The following is a 24,666-nucleotide window of genomic DNA, read 5'->3' on the forward strand; positions in this document are numbered from 1 at the left end:
AGCACGGCACTGAGATAACTTTTTATAAAAGTTGCTGGGGCATCATAGCCACAGAGAGGTCCAGCCTCTAAGACAGCGATCCTGCTGAGAGAACATCTCCCAGGCTTTCTCTTCCATCCTTGGTGCATGGGGCTTGGCTCTTGTGCCCGGTCAGAGGCAGTGTGTGAGGTGGGTACAGGTGCCCAGGGTTCCCAGGGTGGTCCCTGGGTGGGACCTGGCTGGTAGTCTCAGCCCTTTCTGCTCCTGGGAAGGGTTTGGGTCATGCCATTGTAATGTACAAAAAATCCTGTTGGTTGGGGGCGGGGGGCAGGCACCGTGGTTCACACCTGTAATCCCAGCACTTTGGGAGGCCGAGGTGGGTGTATCACCTGAGGTCAGGAGTTTGAAACCAGCCTGGCCAACATGGCAAAGCCCCATCTCTACTAAAAATACAAAAATTAGCCGGGCACGGTGGTGGGTGCCTGTAATCCCAGCTACTTGGGAGGCTGAGGCAGGAGAATCACTTGAACCCAGGAGGTGGAGGTTGCAGTGAGCCAAGATCGCACCATTGCACTCCAGCCCAGGTGACAGAGCGAGACTCTGTCTCAAAAACAACAACAATATCAACAACAACAACAACAAACAAAACAAAAAAACCCTGGGGATATATCTGGGGGCCACCAGAAAGGGGCTCAGGGTAAAGGGATGAGGAGATGGAGTGGGAGATTGCAGTGCCTGGGTGATGGGAGAGAGCAGGGGAGGGCGGGTCGGGGGAACCACTGCTGATTTCATAGGGAAGCAGCTGGGATGGGGCAGAGGAGCGAGAACTAGGATGTCCCATATACAATACAATTGCATATTGGACATACAACCCAGACAATTCCTTCTTCTATCAAATCCACCATCCTGGAGAGTAAAGCTGAAAAGCTGATGACATAAAGTCTGTCTGGGATCAGGCATGATTCTGCGTGCCCAAATGGAGCACAGATCCCTTCCTTCCCAGGGTTCCAGGCTGGCTCCTCAGCCAGGCTCATGGTGTAGGGAGCTGGTCTTTCTTGGCCCTCACTGGGACCTGGCTGTCCATGAGTGGGTGGAATTCTGAAGCCTACCTCTTCTGGATCCCTTTGGCTACATCCTTTATTCATGGGCCATGCCCTTCCTTCAAAGGCTTCAACCTCACACAGATCTGGGCTAGAACACGGGCTTGCCCCATATGTCTTGACAGCTCACCGAACCTTTCTGAGCTTTTATTCTCTTACCTATTTAATGAGAGTGGTGTGTGAGGGTCCACCAGGTAATCTGAGTGATGCCCCTCGCTGCCTCTGTCCCCTGGGGGTCATTCTGCCCAAAGGGGTGCATAGCGTCAGGACCACCAACTCCTCCCAGAGCACTGAGGTCCCTGCTGCCCAGTTAGTGGGTCCCAGGGAAGCCACGTGGCATTTGGAGTGGCATTCCAATCTTGCACTTTCAGGGCCCCCTCTGTGGTTCTGAGAGGAGGAAACAGCTCTAACCTTGGTGATCCCGACTGTGCTGGGCCCTGGGTTGTGAGGCAAATGGAGGGCAGAGGCCCTGGGGGAGGACACGTCCCTCACCACAGTCACTCCCCAGTGCAGCAGTCAGGGGATTTCCCAGGGTGCACTGGGCCAAGGGGCCAGACTCTGAAGTTCATGGGGTTAAGGTCTCCCCGCCAGCCAGGTGACGGCAGCCTCCTCGCCTTGCCCAGACAAGAAAGCCTCGATCTAATCTCACTCTGAACTTTTCCCAAGGCTTTTGCTACGCTTTGCTGTAGCTCCAAAGCCGCATTAGTGAGCACCACGCTCCTTTATAAATGGTCTGTGACCCCAGAGGTCTGCTCGCTGAGGGAGCTGTCTATTTCGGGCATTGTGGGTGGAGGGGGCATCTCAGAGGCTTCTGGAAAATTCCTGATGGGATTGTGTCTGTGTTCTGTCTCAAGCCTCCAATCAACAGATCAGACAGCTTGTACTCACAGGCCAAGGACACGTGGAAAGAGGCTCAATTTTCTAGATGGGTGGCAACAGCCATGATCTTCTGTCCTCTGGGTCCCCACAAGCCTGGATGAACTCAAGATCTGACTCAGTGGCACAGTGAGGAGACCTTTGAGGCCTCAGTGACCATCCTTGGACTTCACCTCTCACGGCTTTCAGGCAGAGAGGCCCTCCCATGCCCACAACAGGCTGAGCCCAGCCTTCCTCGGGGTTTGCTTCCAGGCCTGACTTTTACTCCCCTTTCTAAGTGGTAAGTAGCTTGGTGATGGTGGCTGAGAAAGAAACAGAGAAAAAACATACCTTACAGGCAGAACTGTCATAGTTCTCAAAAGACCAAAGTCACAAGGGCCTGTGGGTGCCTGCACGGCTGCCCAGAGGGAGGGTGACGCCAGCCACAGGCCCATTGCCTTTGTAGGCCAGGGTCCTGCAGTGCTGGCCCGCAACGCTTGATGGGAGGGGGCGGCTCTGTCTACGTGTGAAGAGCCCAGGGTGGCTGTAGCTTGCAGCGGATGGCATTCTCAGTTTGCCCGTTACTCCCCAGACAAATCTCCCTCTGGCCCCTTTTCCTTTCTGTCTTCAGTGGGGGTCGGGAGGCGGCAGCCCCAAAGACCTCTCCTTACCACCTTGTCTTTCCCATGGAGGTTCCCATGCAACACTTGTCCCTGTCCCTGAAATTTCAGACTTCTTTCCACAGCGCAAAGCCTCGGGCCTTGAGAAACTGCAGTGAGCAAGGGGAACCTCACCCCCAAGCTAAGGCAAGAATGCTGGCTCTTCCATCGCTCCTAAGTTCCAGGCTGACCTCTTCCTCCAACTCAACATATTCAAAATGAAACCCAGCGTCTTTAGCTCACCCTCCTTCCCCGCTGCCCCTGCCAGGGCCATGGCCACACTGACCCACACCCCCCGGTCACACCTCCAGGCCTGGCAGTAATATTGCCTGGACTCCTTGAGAACTGCAACCAGATTAATCGTCCCAGAGCTCCGCTTTGATAATATCACTTTTATAGACACATGAAAGGAAGCATTTAGGCAGTCAGTCATGCTAAATCTTAACCACCTTTACAGATTTTTTAGTGCAGCCCATCAAAATTGTCACCAGTCCTGAAGGTCCCACATTTATGGTGTCCATGATAACACCTCCCATGCCAGAGGCAGCAGCACTTGGAGGTGGTGCAGAGCTGGCACTGCAGGAGCTGTCCTCGCCAGGCCTGATCTCACAGCCAGGGCTGCTTCTCCTGGTTCCGCACAAAGCCCATGGTGACCTCCTGCACCTCCCACTCCAGAGGCATAACTGAGCAGTCTGTCTGGGCACCATCAGCACTCCTCTGCGAGGTGACAGATTACAGCTCTAAAGATGTTGGGCCGTTAGGCATTACCTTTCCAGTCGCTGGGTGCAAGGGGGCCTGGGAGTCCTTGGCAGGGGCTGGCATGGGCAGGCTGGTCGGGCTTCAGCAGCAGCTGTGGGCCAAACAGCATGGGAACAGTTGTACCAAGGCAGAGATTGGACTAGAGGGGAACAGGAACAGGACCAACAGTTTTGATTCGCGGGCGTTGCGTTCCAGGTGGTTGTTTTCTGTGAAAGCCCCATTGATGTCACAGTGACGTATAGTAATAATTAAAAAGACAGCACTTGTAAAGACATAGAGACAGTGATGAATAATCACAATTTGATGAGCTTTGTGGAGCTGGACTCCCTGAGTTCAAAACCTAGCTTCAACACTTACTGGCTGTGGGACCGCCCGACCTCATCTCCATTTCCCCGGGAAGCCTTCCCTGCCTGCCTTAGTGTGCTGTCAGCTTGGTGTCTTCTGGTCTCCCAGGACTGACCTGTTGGGTCGTGTACTTGGTGTTTTGTGTATGGCTTCTGTGGTTGCGTATACACTCACGTGCATAAGACGTGTTTTCCCAACTAGTTTGTCATCTCTGAGCGCACAGACTTGATTTAAATTTCTTCTTGACCCTGCAGTGCTCCCGGGAATGCTGTCTACTTGTTGCGATTTTACTCCCGTGGCCTGTGCTAGCTGCCTGCTTGGCCGTTGGGACTGAAGGGATGCTCATCCACTTGGCACACTGACTGCAAGCCTGGCACCGGCCTTGCCTTTGTTCTCCCATGAGTCCTCTTGAAGGCAACCCACTTGTGGTAGGAGGCGTAGAGTCCAGCAGGGCTCTTGCCCCTTTTGCCCTCCTGAATCATGGAGGAAGAGCTCGGTTCCTCGTCCATACAGTGGGAAAAACAAATGAGCAGTTACCTTGGGCAGAGTCCACAGTCCAGCCTGCTTGGCTGCCCGGGGGGAGGTGCCGACTGCAGAAGGCGTGGGCCCTTCCAGGTGTGGACTCGGCCCCTGGGCAGTGCGACCTGTGGCCTCCTTACCAATGAAGAGGAGTGGAAAAGATGCTCTCTCTGCTGCTCACGGCAGCCTCAGCCCACACAGGCTGCTGGCATTTCTGTGCTATTAAATAATTAACTTGGTACTACATGGAGTGAAACGCGCATTGGTCTGGTAAAAGGCCTCAATTAATTGCTTTCATGTTAGCTGTGTACTGTGTCTCCAGGAGGAGATAAGAGGTGGGAATGTGGGTTTTGAAGCCAAGCTGAGAGACACCCTCACAAAAGGTGACAAGTACCCCTCTTCCCATGTAGCTGGGTCTGTTCACTGACGCAGTGCAGAGGTGGCAGCCGTTGCCAGCTTTGGCTCTGGTTGTCTTTTGGGGAGTAGGGAGGGGGATGTGGGACCCAACTCCCTGTTGATGGATGGTGTATGACTGGCTGCCTCGAATGGGCCGACCCAGGCTGTGACAGGTGGTGGCAACATTGGGCTGCTTTTCTGCCACTGCTCTTGGAAAATGCTCTGAGTCATCACATGCCTGCCTTCTGCGCCTTCTGGAGGTGGCCTTTGCTGACTGCATGTGGCTGTCAAGGCTGGGGACATTCAGGGCGCCTGCAATGCCACCTAACACACACAGTGATCGGGAGGCGTGTCTCATGGTAGCTTGCACTGTGTGGATTGGTGCCCACCCCACCATGCTGCCCTCATGTGGTGTAGTGTCCACCTCCCCACAGGATATCCCGTCCTCAAGGGCAGAGACTGCTTGATTCTTGTGTTTCCTGCCCCAGCTCAGGGTCCAGGGCCCCTGCCGCTCGCCAGGACTGTGCCAAGTTCCTACAGGTGGGGGTGCAGCGGCCCTGAGAGTAAGCACTTAACAATGACTTCAAATAAATGATGGACGTTCTCAGATGTGCCTGAGTGCCCCTTTGGTTTTAGGGACCATTGTGGGCAGTGGAGTTACAGTTAGACCAAGACAGACCAAAGCTCCCTCATAGAGCTTAGATTTTGGTGAGAGGAGATGTGCAGTAAACAAATACAAAAGGAAGAGATACAGGATCCCAGGTGGTGATCAGGAAAGGACAATAGAACCAGAGGGCAGGAAATGCCAGGGCATGGGGGATGGGAAGGAGCTGCCGTTTCTTTTTAATATTTAATTTTTGTGGGTACATAGTAGGTATAGATATTTACGGGGTGTGTGGGGTATTTTGATACTGGCATACAATGGGTAATAATCACATCAGGGTGAGGGGGGGTGTCCATCCCCCCCAAGCATCTATCATGTATGGACTGATAGATGGGTGGATCTATCTATCCATCCATCCATCCACTCATCCATCCATCCATCCACTCATCCATCCATCCATCCATCCATCCATCCATCCATCCACTCATCCATCCGTCCATCCGTCCATCTGTCCATCCATCCATCCACCCATCCGTCCATCCGTCCATCCATCCATCCGCCCATCCGTCCATCCGTCCATCCATCCATCCATCCATCCATCCATCCATCCATCCACCCACCCACCCATCCATCCATCCATCCATCCATCCATCCATCCATCCACCCATCCATCCATCCATCCACCCATCCACCCATCCATCCATCCGTCCATCCGTCCATCCGTCCATCCATCCACTCATCCATCCATCCAACCATCCATCCATCCATCCATCCACTCATCCATGCATCCATCCATCCATCCATCCATCCATCCACTCATCCATCCATCCATCCACTCATCCATCCATCCATCCATCCATCCATCCATCCATCCACTCATCCATCCATCCATCCACTCATCCGTCCATCCACCCATCCATCCATCCGTCCATCCATCCATCCATCCATCCTTCCTTCCAATATTTACTGAGCCCCCACTACATGCCAGGATGTGTTCTTAACACCAGGGACACAGCCTTGAACAATGCAGTTATAGTTTCTGTTCTCAAGGGGATAGCATTCTAGTGATTTGATCCAGTGATATCAACCAGAATTTAAGTTAAATATTTTGGATGTTGATTACCTCAGAAAATGAAAATATGAAGTCTACAAGGAGCCTTAAAGATCATTTAGTAAAACCCCTTTGTTTTACAAGTGAGGACTCTGAGGGCAGAAAAGAAACACTGGGTGGCCAGGGTTCCCCTGGCTGGACAGCGGCCCAAACAAGATGCAGCCCAAGTCTCTGGCCGGAGCATTTCCCATCGTGTGGGGCAGCCCCCACAACCTGTGATTTCCGGGTTTACATTTGGCATCTGTGGATGGGTGCTTTATAAGGCTGATGTGTACACACTGAGGTCACAGTTGGAAAAGGGAATACAGAGACATTTCAGGTGGCTGAAATCTGGGTGAGAGGGAGCACTTCTAAAATAGAAACCCTGTATATGGGAGGGACACGTGGTCATGTCTCAGGGAGGGGTGTCTGCAAAAGCCTGGGAGCATTGTCCCAAGGGGTAAGAGCAGATAGGTACACGCAACTGGCTCTGCAGCGTTCACCAGGCTCCCAGGCAAGGCCAACAAACCCTACATGCCTCTGTCCCCACCCAGGCCTGCTGGCTTACACCGCCCATGACTGTGCCTCAGGGTCATGCCTCTGCAGCCCCCTGCTTTTCCCGCAGTGCGGCTCCCACCCGGGGAGCTGCTCCTCACACGCAGGCTCTCCTGGGAAGGCTGTTGAATCGCAGCTGTCCTGGCTCTGCACATGCACATCATCTTTTATTCATTTCTCTCTGATTCCACAGAGCTTCCCAAGCTTGCTGCTTTTTCATGTCATGGCATGCACAGAAAACAATATTCGAGGGTTGCACTGCAGCAAAGTGGAGGGGACTTGGGGTTCTGTGTGGGACCCGGTCAAAATATTCATTACATTTTTTTACATTAAAAGGTTGGTGAAAAATGTTAAAGCACACAGTTTAAAAAAGATATTAAAAATAAATTTGTGTGAGAGTTCTAGAAATCTATAAAAGTATTTAAATGAGAAAATTGAGGGCTTTCCTGAGCATAACCTTTTTGAAGTACCCGTTTTGATGCTTAAAAAAATGCCTACAGTGCAATTTATGCCTCGGACTTAGTGATAATTTGTTCAATTTCCTGATAGGCACCATTGACTAGAAACTTTGTTCACACAAGTGGGTGAGAAATTTTTGAAACCATTTTTTTAAACAAACATTCAGAGATTTATGACAGTTGAATTTATATTTAAGGTCTCAAACAGTTCTTCCTTTTCTTTGGCCGACAAAAGTAATGTCGAAATTTCTTGTAACGGATTTCTTATTGGACTTTTTTATATTAAGTATTTTGAAATAATGAATGCATGTGCACTGTGAGGGCAGTTAGTGTGCTCCCTGCTGCCAGCTCAGACACCACCAAAGGGCACATCAGACAGACACAAGCAGGCAGATGGACCCAGGGTGTGGGTAGGGAGACTAGGGCCTCTGTATACAGCTGCACCTGCCAGAAGCCCCTGTCAGCCCCACTCACAGGCTGGGCCCTTGGGTGCTGGCACAGACTCCTCCTATGTTGACCAGGGGCCCAGCTGCTGGAGAGGTGTGGTGGCGGCGGAGCACCCCCTTGGCCGCACATATCGTGCTGGTGGTCCCGTTGTGCCGCAGTGTGCTGAGCCACCCTGAGATGCCACAGCGGGGCCGCTAGAGCTGCAGGTGCTGACCAGGTCCTCTGTCCTCAGGTCTGGTGGCTGACAGTACTCTGGCCCTCTGATCTGCCCCAGCTCCCCGCTGGGAAGCTTTCCTTAGCATATCGCTCACAGGGGTCTCCACAGCCTCCCCAGGTTGCTGAACCCTCTAGCACTTCCCCACCTGCTGCATCTTTGAGCAGATGACGTTTTTCTCCTGGTCATCTGCAGAAGTTGAGATTATTCAGTAGAACCTCCATTTCTCTTCTTTTATATCTCAAATTCTCTATTCCTCACTTCCCTCCCCTCTCTTTCTTTCCTTCCATTTTCATTTGCAGGTATTTGCGCACCACCTTGTATTTGGTGGTGGGTGTGGGTGTTGTGGATAAAGAACAGGACAGATCTCTTCTGCTGGGGACTGCCGAGCCTGCTGTGGGAGGCAGCTGGGACTCAGCAGACTCCCCTTATGTAGGTCCTCTCTCTCCAGCACTTCCCACACATCACTCCCCCACATCTCCCCTCTGACACACTCCCCGGGTCCCTGTTGTCTATACAATCTCTGTTGCCCCCTTTTATTACTTTGCTGCTGCTCCCTCTAATTCACTGCCTGGGTTCCTAGTGCTCCCTGTGGTCCTCCTTGCCCCCTCAGCCTTCAACTTTTCACCATCTGGGTCCCGCACTCCCCACAAAACAGAAATTGCCTTCTCAAAGGTCACCAGAGACAGAAACGCCAAGTCTACTGCATGTCATTGGCCCTCCTCTCCCTCAGCCTCTCTGTGAGATCGCACCCTGATGGTGGCCCTTATTCTTGCCACCTTCCTCCCTGTCTTGGGGATATCACCTTCTCCTGGCATCCTCCTGCCTCGCTGGAGTTTCTTTTCATCACTGTGGGAGAGACAGGCCTTGAGAAGCAAAGGTCACTGTGGTAGGAGCGCAGGCCTGGGCTAGGGGAAGGCAGGCACCAAGCCTTCCACATACCAGGATTGCGGGACTTCTGTGAGTCACTGTCAATCTTTGGGTTCCCCTTTGGTTTTCACCTCTCACCATTACTGGTAGTGAGCACCCTCAGGCAGCAGAAATGTGCTTCACGTTTGTTTAAGAAGCAGTAGGGAACAGGTGAGGGGCCAGATCCTGTTTTCCGGGTCAGTCATTTGGATCAAATTCGAATCTCCAGAGGCAGCTCACAGCATGGGCTGTCCCTAGAGTCTCCAAGGTAGAGAAGCCACACTCATCTGTCTGGCAATCCGAGGCCCTCTTGGAAGAGGCCTTGTCTGCACCAGAGCAATCCTCCCTCTCCTGCCTGATAAAGCAGGCTGAGCAGAGCCTCTCTCTTCTGCCCTCTGCTCCCTCTCTGACATCCCCCCTACCCCAATGGCTTGAGCCTTCTCTTCTCTGCATTTGGAATCCTAATCTGTAACACTCTAGTCCTCTAGTCCTTGTCTTATCTAGGTTTTTCCCAAAAAGGGCCCAAGAGAAGGGCTTGGCAACAATCCATTTATTTGGACACTGATACCAAGCAACTGGAGTGAGGGCCTGGGGCAGTGGCCAGGCAAGCAGAGCTTCTCCAAGGGGACATCACTGAGCTAGCCATCCTCAGGGCCTCTGTGTATGTAGGGTGCATCAGAAAGCCCCCTAAAGAATAGAGTAGAGAAGTCCAGAAATGCCCCATGGGCATTAATATGCTCCCTGAGTGATTAGAGAGTGTATTAGTCTGTTTTCATGCTGCTGATAAAGACATACCTGAGACTGGGCAATTTACAAAAGAAAGAGGTTTATTGGACTTACAGTTCCACGTGGCTGGAGAAGCCTCACAATCATGGCAGAAGGTAAAAGGCACTTCTTACATGGCAGCGGCAAGAGAGAGAATGAGAGCCAAGGGTAACGGGTTTCCCCTTATCAAACCACCAGATCTTGCGGGACTTATTCACTACCATGAGAGCAGCATGGGGGAAACCTCCCCTATGACAAACCACCAGATCTCGCGAGACTTACTCACTACCACGAGAGCAGCATGGGGGAAACCTCCCCTATGACAAACCACCAGATCTCGCGAGACTTACTCACTACCACGAGAGCAGCATGGGGGAAACCTCCCCTATGACAAACCACCAGATCTCGTGAGACTTACTCACTACCACCAGAGCAGCATGGGGGAAACCTCCCCCATGGCAAACCACCAGATCTCGCGAGACTTACTCACTACCATGAGCGCAGCATGGGGGAAACCTCCCCTATGACAAACCACCAGATCTCATGAGACTTACTCACTACCACCAGAGCAGCATGGGGGAAACCTCCCCTATGACAAACCACCAGATCTCGTGAGACTTACTCACTACCACGAGAGCAGCATGGGGGAAACCTCCTCTATGATAAACCACCAGATCTGGTGAGACTTACTCACTACCATGAAAGCAGCATGGGGGAAACCTCCCCTGTGATTCAGTCATCTCCCCCTGGGTCCCTCCCACAACACATGGGAATGATGGGAGTACAATTCAAGATGAGATTTGGGTGGGGACACAGAGCCAAACCCTATCAGAGGCTTAGGACTTTGAGCCCCTGTGAAGGGAAGCCGGCCTGGAGACTCATCTTGGTAAAAACATTTTTTTTTCCTTTTTGAGACATAGTTCATTCTTGTTGCCCAGGCTGGAGTGCAGTGACCTGGTCTAGGCTCACTGCAACCTCTGCCTTCCAGGTTCAAGCCATTATCCTGCCTCAGCCTCCTGAGTACCTGGGATTACAGGTGCCTGCCACCATGCCTGGAAATTTTTTTTGTATTTTTAGTAGAGACAAGGTTTCACTATGTTGGCCAGGTTGGGCTTGAACTCCTGACCTCAGGTGATTTGCCCACCTCGGCCTCCTGATTACAGGCGTGAGCCTTGGTGCCTGGCCTCATCTCGGTAAAAACTTGAGCAACACCATTAGATGAGCTCGCAGGCTGCTGAGCTCCCAGGCTGCTGACCATGTGCAGGTGCTGGAGAGGGGCACCCAGAGAGGGTGCAGCAATGTGCGTCCTCCACAACCCCCACACCTTGTGCACCTCTGCATCTGGCTGCTGTTCTGTAGCCTTTGTAATTGTGAACCAATATTCAGTCTGTATAATCAACTGGCAAACCTAAATAAAATGTTTCTCCGAGTCTGTGAGCCGTCCTAGCAAATGATCAGATCCATCGGGGGGTTGTGGGGTCCCTGATTTATAGTGAGTTTGTCAGACACACAGGCCCTAGTCTGACACTTGCAAGTGGCATCTGAAGCAGGGCAACCCCGTGTGACTTAGCCGGAAACCTGTGGGATCTGATGCTATCTCCGGATGACAGTGTCGGGATTGAATTATTGAACACCCAGCTGGTGCCCACTGCAGAATTGCTTGGCATGCAGGGAAAACCGCAAACACATCTGGTCACAGAAGCATTCTATGTTGAGTGTGGGAGAGTTCGTTTTTCCCTTTTCACAAAGTGACTTGCCCAAGAACCATTTCAGTAGCCCAATCTTGTCGCCTACTCTGGAACTCACTGGGTGAGACAGGGCCAGCAGTTGGGAGAGAAAGGGCTGGTGGTGGTGGTGGGTGGGAGGACACCCAGGTACACATTCAGTGAGCTAGGTTCAGAGAGACAAAAGCGGCTGCACTTGCAGAAGGTGAGAAGGCGAGCTGAGCCTTTGACAGGTGTCGGCAGGTAAAACCATGGTATCAACAGCTGTGCTTTGAGCTGCACGAGTGAAGGTGGAGGAGAGGGTGGCATCCCAGCATCGTGCAGTCCACCTGGGTCTCCAGAAGAGGTCCAGATGGGATCAGAGACGATGCTGCCAAACACAGGGCTTGAGAGGGTGTTCGGTAAATATCAAAGAAACATTCTACATAGTCTTCTTAGTGAGGAAGAACTGGAGCTGGCACCACAACCATACAGTGTCTTTATAGTCACTGCATGTCGCCTTGTGGGAGAAACTATGTATTTCCCCTTACAGAATGTGGCCTCAGGCATTCTCCAGAAACCCTTTTGCTATCTCCCTAAAGTCCTGAGTTCAACAGCCCCTCTAGTTATTATGATCCATAGACCCCTGGGCTCCAATCCCTACTGGATAATGAGTCAGGGTAAAAATACTGAGAATTTTTTTTTTTTTTTGAGATGGGGTCTTGCTCTGTTGCCTAAGCTGGAGTGCAGTGGTATGATCTCGGCTCACTGCAACCTCCGCCTCCCGGGTTCAAGCGATTCTCCTGCCTCAGCCTCCCAAGTAGCTGGAATTACAGGCGTGCACCACCATGCCCAGCTAATTTTTGCATTTTTAGTAGAGACAGGGTTTTGCCATGTTGGCCAGGCTGGTCTCGAACTCCTGACCTCGTGATCTGCCCGCCTTGGCCTCCCAAAGTGCTAGGATTACAGGCCTGATCCATCGGACCCAGCCAAATACTCAGAATTTTAAAGTAAAACTGTAATTTGTAAGGACTGCATTTGAAGAAGGGAGAAGTATCCTCTCCAGTCAGACTCTGAGGACCAACACATACCCACTTCTGAACGCATGACGATTACAGGCTTTTGCTCATACAGAAGTTCAGTTTGAGACCCCTGCAGGCGTTCCCTGCAGTCAGCTGTCGTGAGAGGCCTTGTGACACTTGGGCTGGAGAGGAGATGACCTGTGATACTCATCAGGTGAAAGGGAGATACAATATTTGTCTAGTAACATCTTTGAGGCCGATAATGATTTCATAGTGTTTATCCAGGGGAACAAAACATTCATACCCTTGTTGTTAGTTGGGACTTTGACTTTCTTTCACCTGTTTCTTTTTACTATTTTTTTTTTTTGAGACGGAGTTTCGCTCATTGTTACCCAGGCTGGAGTGCAATGGTGTGATCTCGGCTCACCACAACCTCCACCTCCTGGGTTCAAGTGATTCTCCAGCCTTAGCCTCCCAATCGGCTGGGATTACAGGCGTGCACCACCACGCCCAGCTAATTTTGTATTTTTAGTAGAGACCAGGCTGGTCTCAAACTCCCGACCTCAGGAGGTCCGCCTGCCTCAGCCTCCCAGAGTGCTGGGATTAGAGGCGTGCGCCACTGCACCCAGCCTAGAGACTTTGACTTTCTCTCTCTCCTACTGGTGTGAAGCCGTGCCTCATTCAGGGAGGTATGTGTGCCAGTTTCCTCTTCAAAGGATTCCTACACCCAGAAGAGGAGAAGCAGAAGCAGTCTTCAGGTTCTCTGCGTGCGAGCTGACGCAGCTTACTTTGGGCCAGGTGCACTGGATGCGCCCTCGCTCCCTCCGTGGGGCCCTGGCTGGTGTCGGAGCCCTAGCGCAGCCATCTCACAGGTAGAAACGCCCGCGCGGGGCGCTCACTGCCTCGGACTCGGCCCTTCCGCTGCGAGGCCCTGCTGTCTCGGGTTCCCCCATCAGTTTTGGGTAGGATTATCAGAACCCTTCCCAGGAGCGCGCTTGGAGCGCTGTGGACACTATCCTCTCCTAGCACAGGTGGCGCGGTGGCTTGGGCCACTTGCTGGCTTCATTCCCTGGCTGGTGTACACCAGGGCAAGCCGCTTCACCCCTCTGCTCCTTCTCATCGCACCTGCGAGCTGGGCACGATGGCAGCACACCCTCGATATGTTTGCTGTGTGGGTTAAATGTGGTCACGTGTGTGGGGCTTTAGGCCAGTGGCCACCACATGGCAAGACCTCAGTCATCACTTGGTATAAATGTGTCTCCTTAGTGTGGTATAGTCATTTCCTTCCCGAATTTTAGTACCTTTGCAATAAGAACATGCCACCACTCCTCACAGTGGCTTTATCTAGGTGTTGGCCATGAAGAGTGCCCATTGCTGGCACTTGAGTAAACATCAGAGGCTCCAGCCCCAAAACTTGCAGAATGGGTGTCAGTGGCCTAGAAAACCACCCAGAGGACAATACAGGTGGATTTTCTAGGCCCTAGCAATCAGACAGCTGTGGGTGATAGTGAGTTAGGCATGCTTAGTAATATTCCCAAAGCAAGAGTCAAAAGTAGGCTAGCTCTACATAATTGCAAAACCCACTTAAGTGCTCCCAGTGGCTTCTAGTTCTCATATTGTTTCCTATAAAACACGGCACCAGCCAGACTTGTGATGCAGAGACAACATTGAGTGGAAAGATCTGAACATCACCAGCTCTGAATGCAAAAGTGGTACAGCAGACTTTGATTCTGAATGTGAACTTTTAAGAATATCTTACCTTACTTTACAGATATTTTTTCCTTTTACCTATGTAGAAGAGTATATATAAGAAAAAGTTGGCTCACGCCTGTAATACCAGCACTTTGGGAGGCCAAGGCGAGCGGATCACAAGGTCAGGAGATCGAGACCATCCTGGCTAACATGGTGAAACCCCCATCTCTACTAAAAATGCAAAAAATTAGCGAGGCATGGTGGTGGGCACCTATAGTCCCAGCTACTTGGGAGGCTGAGGCAGGAGAATGGCGTGAACCCAGGAGGCGGAGGTTGCAGTGAGCCGAGATCACGCCACTGCACTCCAGCCTGGGCGACAGAGCAAGAGTCCGTCTCAAAAAAAAGAAAAAGAAAGAGCATTACCCAAATAAGCCCAAACAACTCTTTGAATAAATATAAAATAAAAATTGTCATAAGAATGCCTCATGTCCTACTTTAATTGGCAATCTCTTTTAAAATAAGTAGCATGTAAAACAATGCAATACATTTGGGAGTGTCTTACAAAAAGAATTCAGGCTGATATGCTAATGTTTCTTTGGGAGTTTATTGTGTCAGCTTGGCTGGGCTATGGTGCATGCTGTTTGGTCAAACACTGGTCTGGATATTGCAGTTGGATATTGTAGTTGTGATTAACATTTACAATCAGTGGACTGTAAAGAAATAAAACAGATTACCTTCCATAATGTGGGGTGGGGGACCTTATCCAGTCAGTTGAAGGCCTTAGGAACAAAACCTAGGGTTTCTTGAAGAAGGAGGGATTCAACGCTTACCTAAATTTCCAGCCTGCTGGCCTGCCCTATGGATCTCAGACTTACAACCCCCTGTAATTGCTTGAGCCAATTCCTTAAAATAGTTCTGTTTCTTCGGAAACCCCTAATATAATCTTTTTAAATAGGTTGGTTAGAATTGAGCAGTGTGACCCATGTAAAACAAAGTTATATTTAGAGATAACTTGCTTTTCTTTATGCAGACTATCTTTTGCACCAGCTTTCTAGGTGGCTGGTTGCTGCCTACCTAGTGACTCTCACTGTCAACTCAACCTTTTCCCTGTGCTCATGTGACTGGCTTTTGCAGCCCCATGTGCAGGACCTTATATCCACCCCAAGCAATTTCCTTTTCACAAAATTTGATCAATTACTTTGGGCATCCTTCACTACTCAGGGGGACATCCTCTGGCGCCACCTTCCTGTCTGTGGCAACGGTGGTACCTGGAAGGACCCAGGTATGTGCCCCTGCAGGTTCAGGTGAGGTGGTGCCACTGACATCATCACTACCAGGCATGGAGCAGTCACCTCGGGTCCTTGCAGTGCAGCCCAGGGTCTCCGGAGTCAGTGGCTCTGGGCTCGGCCGCACATGGGCAGCGATGAATGAGCAGTATTAGTGGTTCTTCCAGCACAACCCATCATCCCTCAACAATGCATTTCTGGAAATTAATTAGAAGCCACACAGTGGAATAACGAACACCATGTTTAGAATTACAGTCTATCGCTAAACGACAGCTCAGACAGCCCATGGCTGCCCATAACCCTGGATGTCTTGAGTGTCTGCCCCCAGTGCCTGTTGAACCCTCTTTAGTGACTAACCTGCAGAGCGGGTCTGGATGGCTTAATCGCTTCTGAGGCTGGGATGCTACCTGGGCAGGGGCAGGAGCTAAAGGAAGGAGGAAGTGGACTCAGCACCTGGAGAAGGGAAACTGCTGGTGCCTACGGCAGCAAACCAGTGTCTTTCCCTGGTATCCAACGCTCCGACAGGAAGCCTTCTGCCGCGTTCTTGTTTGGGGGCAAACCAGGTTCCCTGTGTTTACTCACACAATGGGACACCCTCAGGGCCTCTCTGTACCCTGAGGGGGCTTCTGGGGAGCCTCCAAGATTAGAACCCAGCTCCACAGCATTGATTTACCCTGGCTCCTACTCACTGTGGGAAATTCAGCTTCCTCATCTATAAGAGGGGCAGAAACCACTGTATATTTCTTTGATTGCTAGAAGGGATAAATAATGTAATCATTTAAAGTCCTTGAATAATTGCATAAAGTATCCTGTCTTACACACAGTAAGTGATCAGTAAATTTGTTCCGTGTGTGTGTGTGTGAGAGAGAGACAGAAAGAGAAAGACACACACACACACACACACACACACACACACACACACACAGAGTTCACTTTTGTGGTCACTCACCTTTTTTTTTTGTTTTTTTTTTTTTTTTTTTTTTGAGATGGAGTCTCACTCTGTCACCCAGGCTGGAGTGCAGTGGTGCGATCTCGGCTCACTGCAAGCTCCGCCTCCCGGGTTCACGCCATTCTCCTGCCTCTGCCTCCCGAGCAGCTGGGACTACAGGCGCCCGCCACCACGCCCGGCTAATTTTTTGTATTTTTAGTAGAGATGGGGTTTCACCATGTTAGCCAGGATGGTCTAGATCTCCTGACCTCATGATCCACCTGCCTCAGCCTCCCAAAGAGCTGGGATTACAGGCGTGAGCCGCCATGCCGGGCCAGTCATTCACTTTTATCTGTAGTTTCCCCACCACAGGCGGGAGCTGCATACTTGGGGGACAGGGCACTTTCCTTTCATGCCTTGGGGGTGGGTGGGACATGTTTCCAGATTCTATTCTAGTGGACAGAGCTCTTCACTGGCCTAATGACAGTGTGTCTCTAAATAAGTTTAAGAATAGGTAAGAGAAAACCAGAGTTTATTTTATTCTAACCACTCAGGCTTGGGAGCAGGGTTGCAGGGAGGGCCGTGGTATACTGATAAATGCTTATAACCTGGCAGGCAAGAAAAGCCTTGGTTTAGAGATGCTGGTTTCAGTGGTGTAAATACCCTCACCATGGCTAACCTTGAGACCTTGGGGTTGGGATGGGCACGATGCTGGTTTCAGTGGAGTAAATACCCTCACCATGGCTGACGCTGAGACCTTGGGGTTGGGATGGGCACGATGCTGGTTTCAGTGGTGTAAATACCCTCACCATGGCTGACGCTGAGACCTTGGGGTTGGGATGGGCACGATGCTGGTTTCAGTGGTGTAAATACCCTCACCATGGCTGACGCTGAGACCTTGGGGTTGGCATGGGCACGATGCTGGTTTCAGTGGTGTAAATACCCTCACCATGGCTGACGCTGAGACCTTGGGGTTGGGATGGGCACGATGCTGGTTTCAGTGGTGTAAATACCCTCACCATGGCTGACGTTGAGACCTTGGGGTTGGCATGGGCACGATGCTGGTTTCAGTGGTGTAAATACCCTCACCATGGCTGATGTTGAGACCTTGGGGTTGGGATGGGCATGATGCTGGTTTCAGTGGTGTAAATACCCTCACCATGGCTGACGTTGAGATCCTGGGGTTGGGATGGGCACCAGCGGCTCTTCTGAGTGGGTCTGAGTCTGCTCCTGACACCCTGGGGAGGGTGGATGCAGGGTAAGTGGGGTCTGGGCTGCTTGGCTGGCTGAGTTTCCCCGTATGAGCTTCCTCCTGCCCCATGCCAGGCTGTCAGGCCACCTGGAAGCTAAGGATGGCTCCTTCTCCAGTTGTTGCCTAAGGCGCCTGCACAGGCTGTCAGGCCACCTGGAAGCTAAGGATGGCTCCTTCTCCAGTTGTTGCCTAAGGCCCCTGCACAGGTCTGCTTGACAGGCCCACGCTGCAGCCCCAGAGTCTCAGAGCCTGCCTGGCTTAGCCTGCACGAGATCCCCTGCCGGATGGCATTTTACCCACCTTTGTAACCGCATTCCCCACCCTCCCACCCTCTTCCAGCCTGCAGCCTGGCATGGTGTAGGCGTTTTGTGAAAGCCTGTTCAGTGCAGACGTTTTCAATCACGAGGCACACGTGGGCACAGGCAAGAAGAATTAAAGGCCCTTTGAAGCTTCCCTTTGCCTGAGTCCTGGAGTGGTCTGAGGGCCTTTGTCTATCAGCATTTGTGGGGTTCTCACTCAGTGGCTGTGCTTGTTCCTCTCCATATCTAACAGCAATGCACAAGTCAGAACCTCTCTGCTCACAGGCAAGCTGAGTGTAGAGTGGTTCTGCCAGACTCACCACACTCCCTGTTTGTGGAGGGAAGGATTCACGGGCCTTTCCCAATTCACCAGACCAGGGCCTGACCCAGAGAAGCCTGCTGAGTGGACGGGGCTCCGTTCCCAGCTCTTGGCTCTGCCAGGCAGGAGGAAGACACACTTGAATGATTCACAGTTGCAATGCCTGGCTACAACTTTATGAATAAATTGGGTGCTTTGCAGAAAGATCACTGTATCTCCGATGCAAATCCCCACAAGACAATAAATATAGATTCCTTTGTCGTAATCACAGCAGCATCTTGATCTGCCTGCGGTGATTAAAGTGTAACCAAACTGCCATTTAATTTCATTCCAGGCCATTTCAAATTGTGTTGTGTTAAGCTATCCTGATGCAGAAATACTCCCTGCAGCTCTGGCCCTGTGTGAGACTCCAAGCTGAAGATCGTGGCTTCTGCTGAGGAATATGCGTAGGTTGTATGTGAACATCAACAACCTCCATCTCCTGTCTTTGGCTCTCTCCACAGAGGCCATTTTTGGTCTATGGTTTGGAAGCCATCTCCATCCTCTTATCTACGGATGAGGAAGCTCAAACCTCAGTTCAGAGAAGCTCAAGCCCTCGCCAGGTCTGCTGAGTGCCTGCTCAAGAACTGCTTTTAGGAAGGTCCCATGGCTTTGCCCCCAGTGGCAAAGGCCATTGAACAGGGCCTATGAACATGGCTCTTTCTGGGACAGCCGAGCTTCTGCAGAGACTGCTTCAGCACCGCAGGTCTTATGCATGCCAGAGGGAGAAAGGCAGAGGCCTCTGGGCAGAAGGGAATTTTAGGCTTGAGCTAGGAGGGATGCAGAAAGGAAAGCAGGGGAGGAGGCTACCAGAGCCGCTGGTGAGGGTGAGCCCATGACCTCTTCCAGCAAATTGGTGGGGCTGGCCTGTGGGTGCTGCTGTAGCTGCAGTGGCAGCCAAGCAGATTAATCTGATTTCCTGGCAGTGATGCATCCAAAGTCACGAGGCCCCAGCTGCACGGCGGCTCTGGCCAGCACTGTGCCGGGGGTGTTGGGAAGGGGGCCCCAGTTAACTTGTGTGTGTCTACAGGTTGACTCAACATAATTGTGAGCTCCCAGGAACATCTTTCCACCCTGTTGGCACTGGGAGGAGATGGAAATGTGACTGTGGTCTAGGCGGCAGGAGAGTGCGATGGGCTGGGAGGTGGGGGTAGGCTGGGGTGCTCCTGGGCTGTTACAAGCTTCTGTTTGTCCTTTCAGAAGAGGTTGCTTTTGATTATGCAAGGTCCTTACATATCTGTGATCCCATTATTTTTAGCCTGGGCCCCAAGGCTTCCAAAATAGGGAGCGAGGAAAGAGGGTGGTTAATAAACAGAGAAGCACATCTTTTGAAGTTGCTATGTGTTTTAGAGGAGAAACTGTCCCTGCTTCTGCTGCTGCTGCTGCTGCTGCTGTGTGTGTGTGTGTGTGTGTGTATGTGTGAGAGACAGCATGCACACAACTAGGTGTGAGCACTCTAATGGAGACAGCAGGGACAAGAGTTTGGTTGCCTGGGTCCAGGATGCTGGGAGGGTTCCATTCTGGAGTTGCCACCTGCAGTCCAGGACTGAAGGGAGGTCTTAGGGGAACTCTGGCCATCTTATTTATGCAGCTGCTGCACCTCCCCTATTCCTAACTGCCTTCTTTCCGGGCTCACCAGCAAGGCATGGAAGCTCACTTACAGCAAGACCAGGCTACACGGGAAGGCTGAGGAATGGCCCTGGACCCAGGACCACCAGGATCCAATGGCAGGGAGGTAGCCACCCAGGCTACGGAGCTGAGGTCAGCATGGCAGGGAGAGCAGGTTCAAGGCTGGCTTCCTACTAGCTGGGCAGTCCTGAGCGACTGTATCTTCTAGCCTCTGCAAAGCACCAGCTCAGGGAAGGGCACATGGAGCTGCTCAGCAAGTGCTGGTTGAGTAGACGGAGATCCAAACTGCGGGTCAGGCAAATAACATGTGGGAACCTCAATGTATGTTCCTTCCTATCTTGGTGAACAGCTCTGCTCTGTACCTGATCACCGAGGGCATCCTTTTACTCCTCTCCCACCACACCCAATAGATTTCCGATACCTACTGATTTGACATCCTGAATGTTCCACAAATCCTTCATGACTCCTATCCCTAGCATTGTCACTCGGGCTCCAGCCACCACCATTCCTTGCCTGTTTGTCACAGCAGCTTCCTAATAGGTATCTGTCATCCTCCCACCCATTCTCTGTGTTGCATTTTTGGTACCTTTAAGTTTGTGAATCTGCTCATGTCATCCATTAGCTCTAGTTCCTTTCATGGCTTCACATTGTCCACAGGATAAAGGCCAAGGCAAACCTCTAGGTCTGTCATGACCTGATATCCAATATCATTTCTCTCTCTCCACCGCCCAGGCCTCCAGCCAGGTTAAACTCCTTGCAGTTCCTGGAAGTGCTGCCCTCTCTTTTGTGCATGGACATTTGTGTCTCTTGTTCCCTCTGCCTGTCATCCCTTGAATCTCTTGCCTTGGCTAAGTCCTCACCTTTCAAGCCTCCCTTAGACATCAGCTTCCCCTGACAACTGCACTGGCGTCCCTTCTGGGTGCTCCTAAAGACTCTGTGCATCTCCCCTCCAGCCCTTCCACATAGCTCGTGATCACCCCACCTGCTCACGGTCTCTTCCATTGGCCTGTGAGCATCCTGAGGGCAAGAACCACCCTGGTTCTATCAGAGACGTTTGAACCACAGCAACTCCATCTTGAGTAGGGCCTTGCTGAGACCTGCTGGGCTGCACTCCCATAGGTTAGGCATTCTAAGTCACAGGATGAGATAGGAGGTCAGCACAAGTTACAGGTCATAAAGGCCTTGCTGGTAAAACAGGTTGCAGTAAAGAGGCTGGCCCAAACCCACCAAAACCAAGAAGGCAATGAGAGCGATCTCTAGTTATCCTCACTGGTACACTCCTACCAGCACCATGACAGCTTACAGATGCCATGGCAACACCAGGAAGTTAGCCTATCTGGTCTAACAAAAGGCGGAACACTCAGTTCCAGGAATTGCCCACCCCTTTCCAGAAAACTCATGAATAATCCACCCCTTGTTTAGCATAGAATCAAGAAATAACCATAAAAACGGGCAAAACTAGCAGTCCTTGGGGCTGCTCTGCCTATGGAGTAACAATTCTTTATTACTTTACTTTTTAAATAAACTTGCTTTCACTTTATTCTTTATTACTTTACTTTTTAAATAAACTTGCTTTCACTTTATGAACTCACCCCAATTTCTTTCTTGCACGAGATCCAAGAACCCTCTCTTGGGGTCTGGATTGGGACCCCTTTTCAGCAACAGTTCTGATACCTCACACAGTGCCTAGGCCAGAGCAGACACTCAAATGCTGCACTGTATTTTCTTGCTTCTAAGGAAATTCCATACTGTAATACATTCCATCTACCTGCATTTTAGGAGGAAACAGAGGTGCCCCATTAAATGTATGCCAAATTTTTTTAAATAGTGAAATTCTGCACATGTGTGTAGGCCAATGCATGTCTTTTTTCAGAAAGGGTTGAGATTAGTGGTTGGATCTTCCTTCTCTGCACTTGGGGTGGGTGCTTCTCCAGAGGCTGCAGCAGCAGTTCTGCAGAGCCTCAGATGGCCACTGTGTTCCTCTGGGCATGCTTGACAGGGACTCCTAGAGCACTCGAGGATTGCCAAAGTAATTTCGAGCGTATTGAAAAATGCCATGATTTCTTCTGTTTTTGCCGCTTGATTAAACTTAGTTTCTCATTTTTACCTATATTGACTTATATTGCTGGAAGTAAAACAGAATCTCAGGAATCAGTGTGATGCGTTTGACAGATGCTGTTCTGCTGCTGAGTGATAGTCCCACGAGGGCTGTGAACTTTCCCCCTTCCAACCCCCCTCTCCTACCACCATGCGGTCTCCAGGCTCAGGAAGGGGTTCTGTGGTCTTTATCAGAAATGGAGGTACTGCAAGGTCTGGTTTTCTAGCCTGATGCTCCATTAACTACCAAGAGTGAAGAAACAGCCTCATCCTGTCGCTTAAGTCCATCTTCTCCCATGGGATTTCTTCCACTTTTGAGGAGCTCAAGCTCTGTGGGCCATGCGAGCTCTCCTCCTTTGTGAGCATACATGTTCCCTCATTTGTCAATATCCACTTAGAAAGGCGAGAGGGGTCTTTGTCTTTAGAAGACAATGCTGGCAGGTGGGAGGAGTGGGGGTTCAGAGGCCCTTCTGTTAGTGCGTGTGGGAAGGGGCAACCTTCTTTGCAGTGTGAGAGGTTTGTATTCTTGTCTGTTACAAATCTTCTCTCCCACCGTGATCATAAATGTAGCCTGTGCATAGCCTTCCCTTCTGTTTCTCTTCTACCCATCTCTAGTTGGTCTATTTTCAAGGTATTCCAGGACATGAAAAGGCCTCAGTGAGTGGTAATGTCTAGGAGTGCAATGCGACCTAAGGGACAGAAAAATCACTTAAGGGATAACCTGCTTGGAAAACAAAATAAAGCTAAACAAAAAACCAAAACCACTGCTTCACTGTGACTCAAACCTTGGCTTTAAATGGCTATCTTTCCTCCTAAGACCTTTCATAAGTGTGCTGTCATACCACCCTTGCATAAGGTCTCTGTCTCTGTGCTGTCACACCACCCTTGCCTAAGGCCTCTGTCTCTGTGCTGTCACACCATTCTTGCCTAAGGCCTCTGTCTCTGTGCTATCACACCATCCTTGCCTAAGGCCTCTGTCTCTGTGCTGTATCACACCATCCTTGCCTAAGGCCTCTGTCTCTGTGCTATCACACCATCCTTGCCTAAGGCCTCTTTCTCTGTGCTATCACACCATCCTTGCCTAAGGACTCTGTCTCTGTGCTGTCACACCATCCTTGCCTAAGGCCTCTGCCTCTGTGCTATCACACCATCCTTGCCTAAGGCCTCTGTCTCTGTGCTGTGACACCATCGTTGCCTAAGGCCTCTGTCTCTGTGCTATCACACCATCCTTGCCTAAGGCCTCTGTCTCTGTGCTGTATCACACCATCCTTGCCTAAGGCCTCTTTCTCTGTGCTATCACACCATCCTTGCCTAAGGACTCTGTCTCTGTGCTGTCACACCATCCTTGCCTAAGGCCTCTGTCTCTGTGCTATCACACCATCCTTGCCTAAGGCCTCTGTCTCTGTGCTGTGACACCATCGTTGCCTAAGGCCTCTGTCTCTGTGCTATCACACCATCCTTGCCTAAGGCCTCTGTGTCTGTGCTGTCACACCACCCTTGTCTAAGGCCTCTGTCTCTGAGCTGTCACACCACCCTTGCCTAAGGCCTCTGTCTCTGAGCTGTCACACCACCCTTGCCTAAGGCCTCTGTCTCTGTGCTGTCACACCACCCTTGCCTAAGGCCTCTGTCTCTGTGCTGTCACACCATCCTTGCCTAAGGCCTCTGTTTCTGTCCTGTCACACCGTCCTTGCTTAAGGCTTCTGTCACTGTGGTGTCACAGTATTTTTGCTGCCGGAAAACACAGATAGGGAGAGAACTTGTAAAGATAACTTCAATAATAGTACACACTTTGGCTGGGTGCAATGGCTCACGCCTGTAAACCCAGCACTTTGGGAGGCTGAGTCGAGTGGATCACGAAATCAGGGGTTTGAGACCAGCCTGGCCAATATGGTGAAAGCTCATCTCTATTAAAAATGCAAAAATTAGCTGGGAGTGGTGGCACGTGCCTGTAGTCCCAGCTGCTCGGGAGGCTGAGGCAGGACAATCACTTGAACCTGGGAGGTGGAGGTTGTAGTGAGCCGAGATCACACCACTGTACTCCAGCCTGGGAGACAGAGTGAGACTCCGTCTCCAAATTAAAAAAGAAAAAATAGTACACTCTTGGATAATTATTTTCAGATTGCAAAACACTATTATTCATTATATAATAAGTGTTCCTCACATCAACCCATTCATTGTAATTCTCTTTTTACAGACCTGGATTTGGTAAGTTATGTTGATTTATTCATTTAGGTATGTGTTCATTCATCTATCCAAAATACATTCCCTGAGTCTATAATATGTGCATATTATTGAGCTGACGTATATCAAGGATGCCCTCTAAGAGCATGTAAACTTGTGGTATTAATATTAATAATGTAATAATTAGTAATATTATATGAATAATATTTCATATTAACATAATAATATGAAAATGTAAAACTAAAAATAGTATAGCATAAGAAGTGTTGAGGTGGAATTTGCTGTGGGATTGCACAAAAAGGGGAATGAAATCAGGTGGGAACTGTGAGAAATGTTTATAGGGTGTAGGACTGTAGGACTGGGTTTGGGACCTAGGGTTGTTCAAGGGTGGGCTGATGAGGCTAAAATGTTCTGTGGGAACTGTGAGGGAGCAGGTTTTGAGGTGCCAGGCTCGGCATGTGTCATACTGGCTTGGAGGATGCTTGAGGGGAAGCCAGGGCCTGACCCCTTGGGGCAGCATGGGAGAAGTAGGAAGTGAGGATGGCCTGGTGAGCTGGCAGCCCCT

At 50.8% G+C, this 24,666-nt stretch overlaps 1 long non-coding RNA gene across 1 annotated transcript in view, besides 1 other annotated feature; it reads left to right on the forward strand.

The window, feature by feature from the left end:
- The first annotated feature begins 1,932 nt into the window (after positions 1–1,932).
- B3GAT1-DT (B3GAT1 divergent transcript) overlaps positions 1,933–24,666 on the forward strand; it is a 69,180-nt gene continuing 46,446 nt past the window's right edge. The window contains exon 1 of the long non-coding RNA NR_033852.1: positions 1,933–2,235. This is a non-coding gene — a long non-coding RNA (B3GAT1 divergent transcript). The remainder of the gene's footprint in view (positions 2,236–24,666) is intronic.
- Positions 4,493–4,993: an enhancer, noted in NCBI's record as "H3K4me1 hESC enhancer chr11:134308936-134309436 (GRCh37/hg19 assembly coordinates)". NCBI's record gives its function as "activates a minimal SCP1, AML or CMV promoter by ChIP-STARR-seq in primed H9 embryonic stem cells {active_cell/tissue: H9 hESC(primed)}" and the evidence as "EXISTENCE:reporter gene assay evidence [ECO:0000049][PMID:30033119]".

Source organism: Homo sapiens, chromosome 11, assembly GCF_000001405.40.
Source record: "Homo sapiens chromosome 11, GRCh38.p14 Primary Assembly".
NCBI lineage: Eukaryota > Metazoa > Chordata > Mammalia > Primates > Hominidae > Homo > Homo sapiens.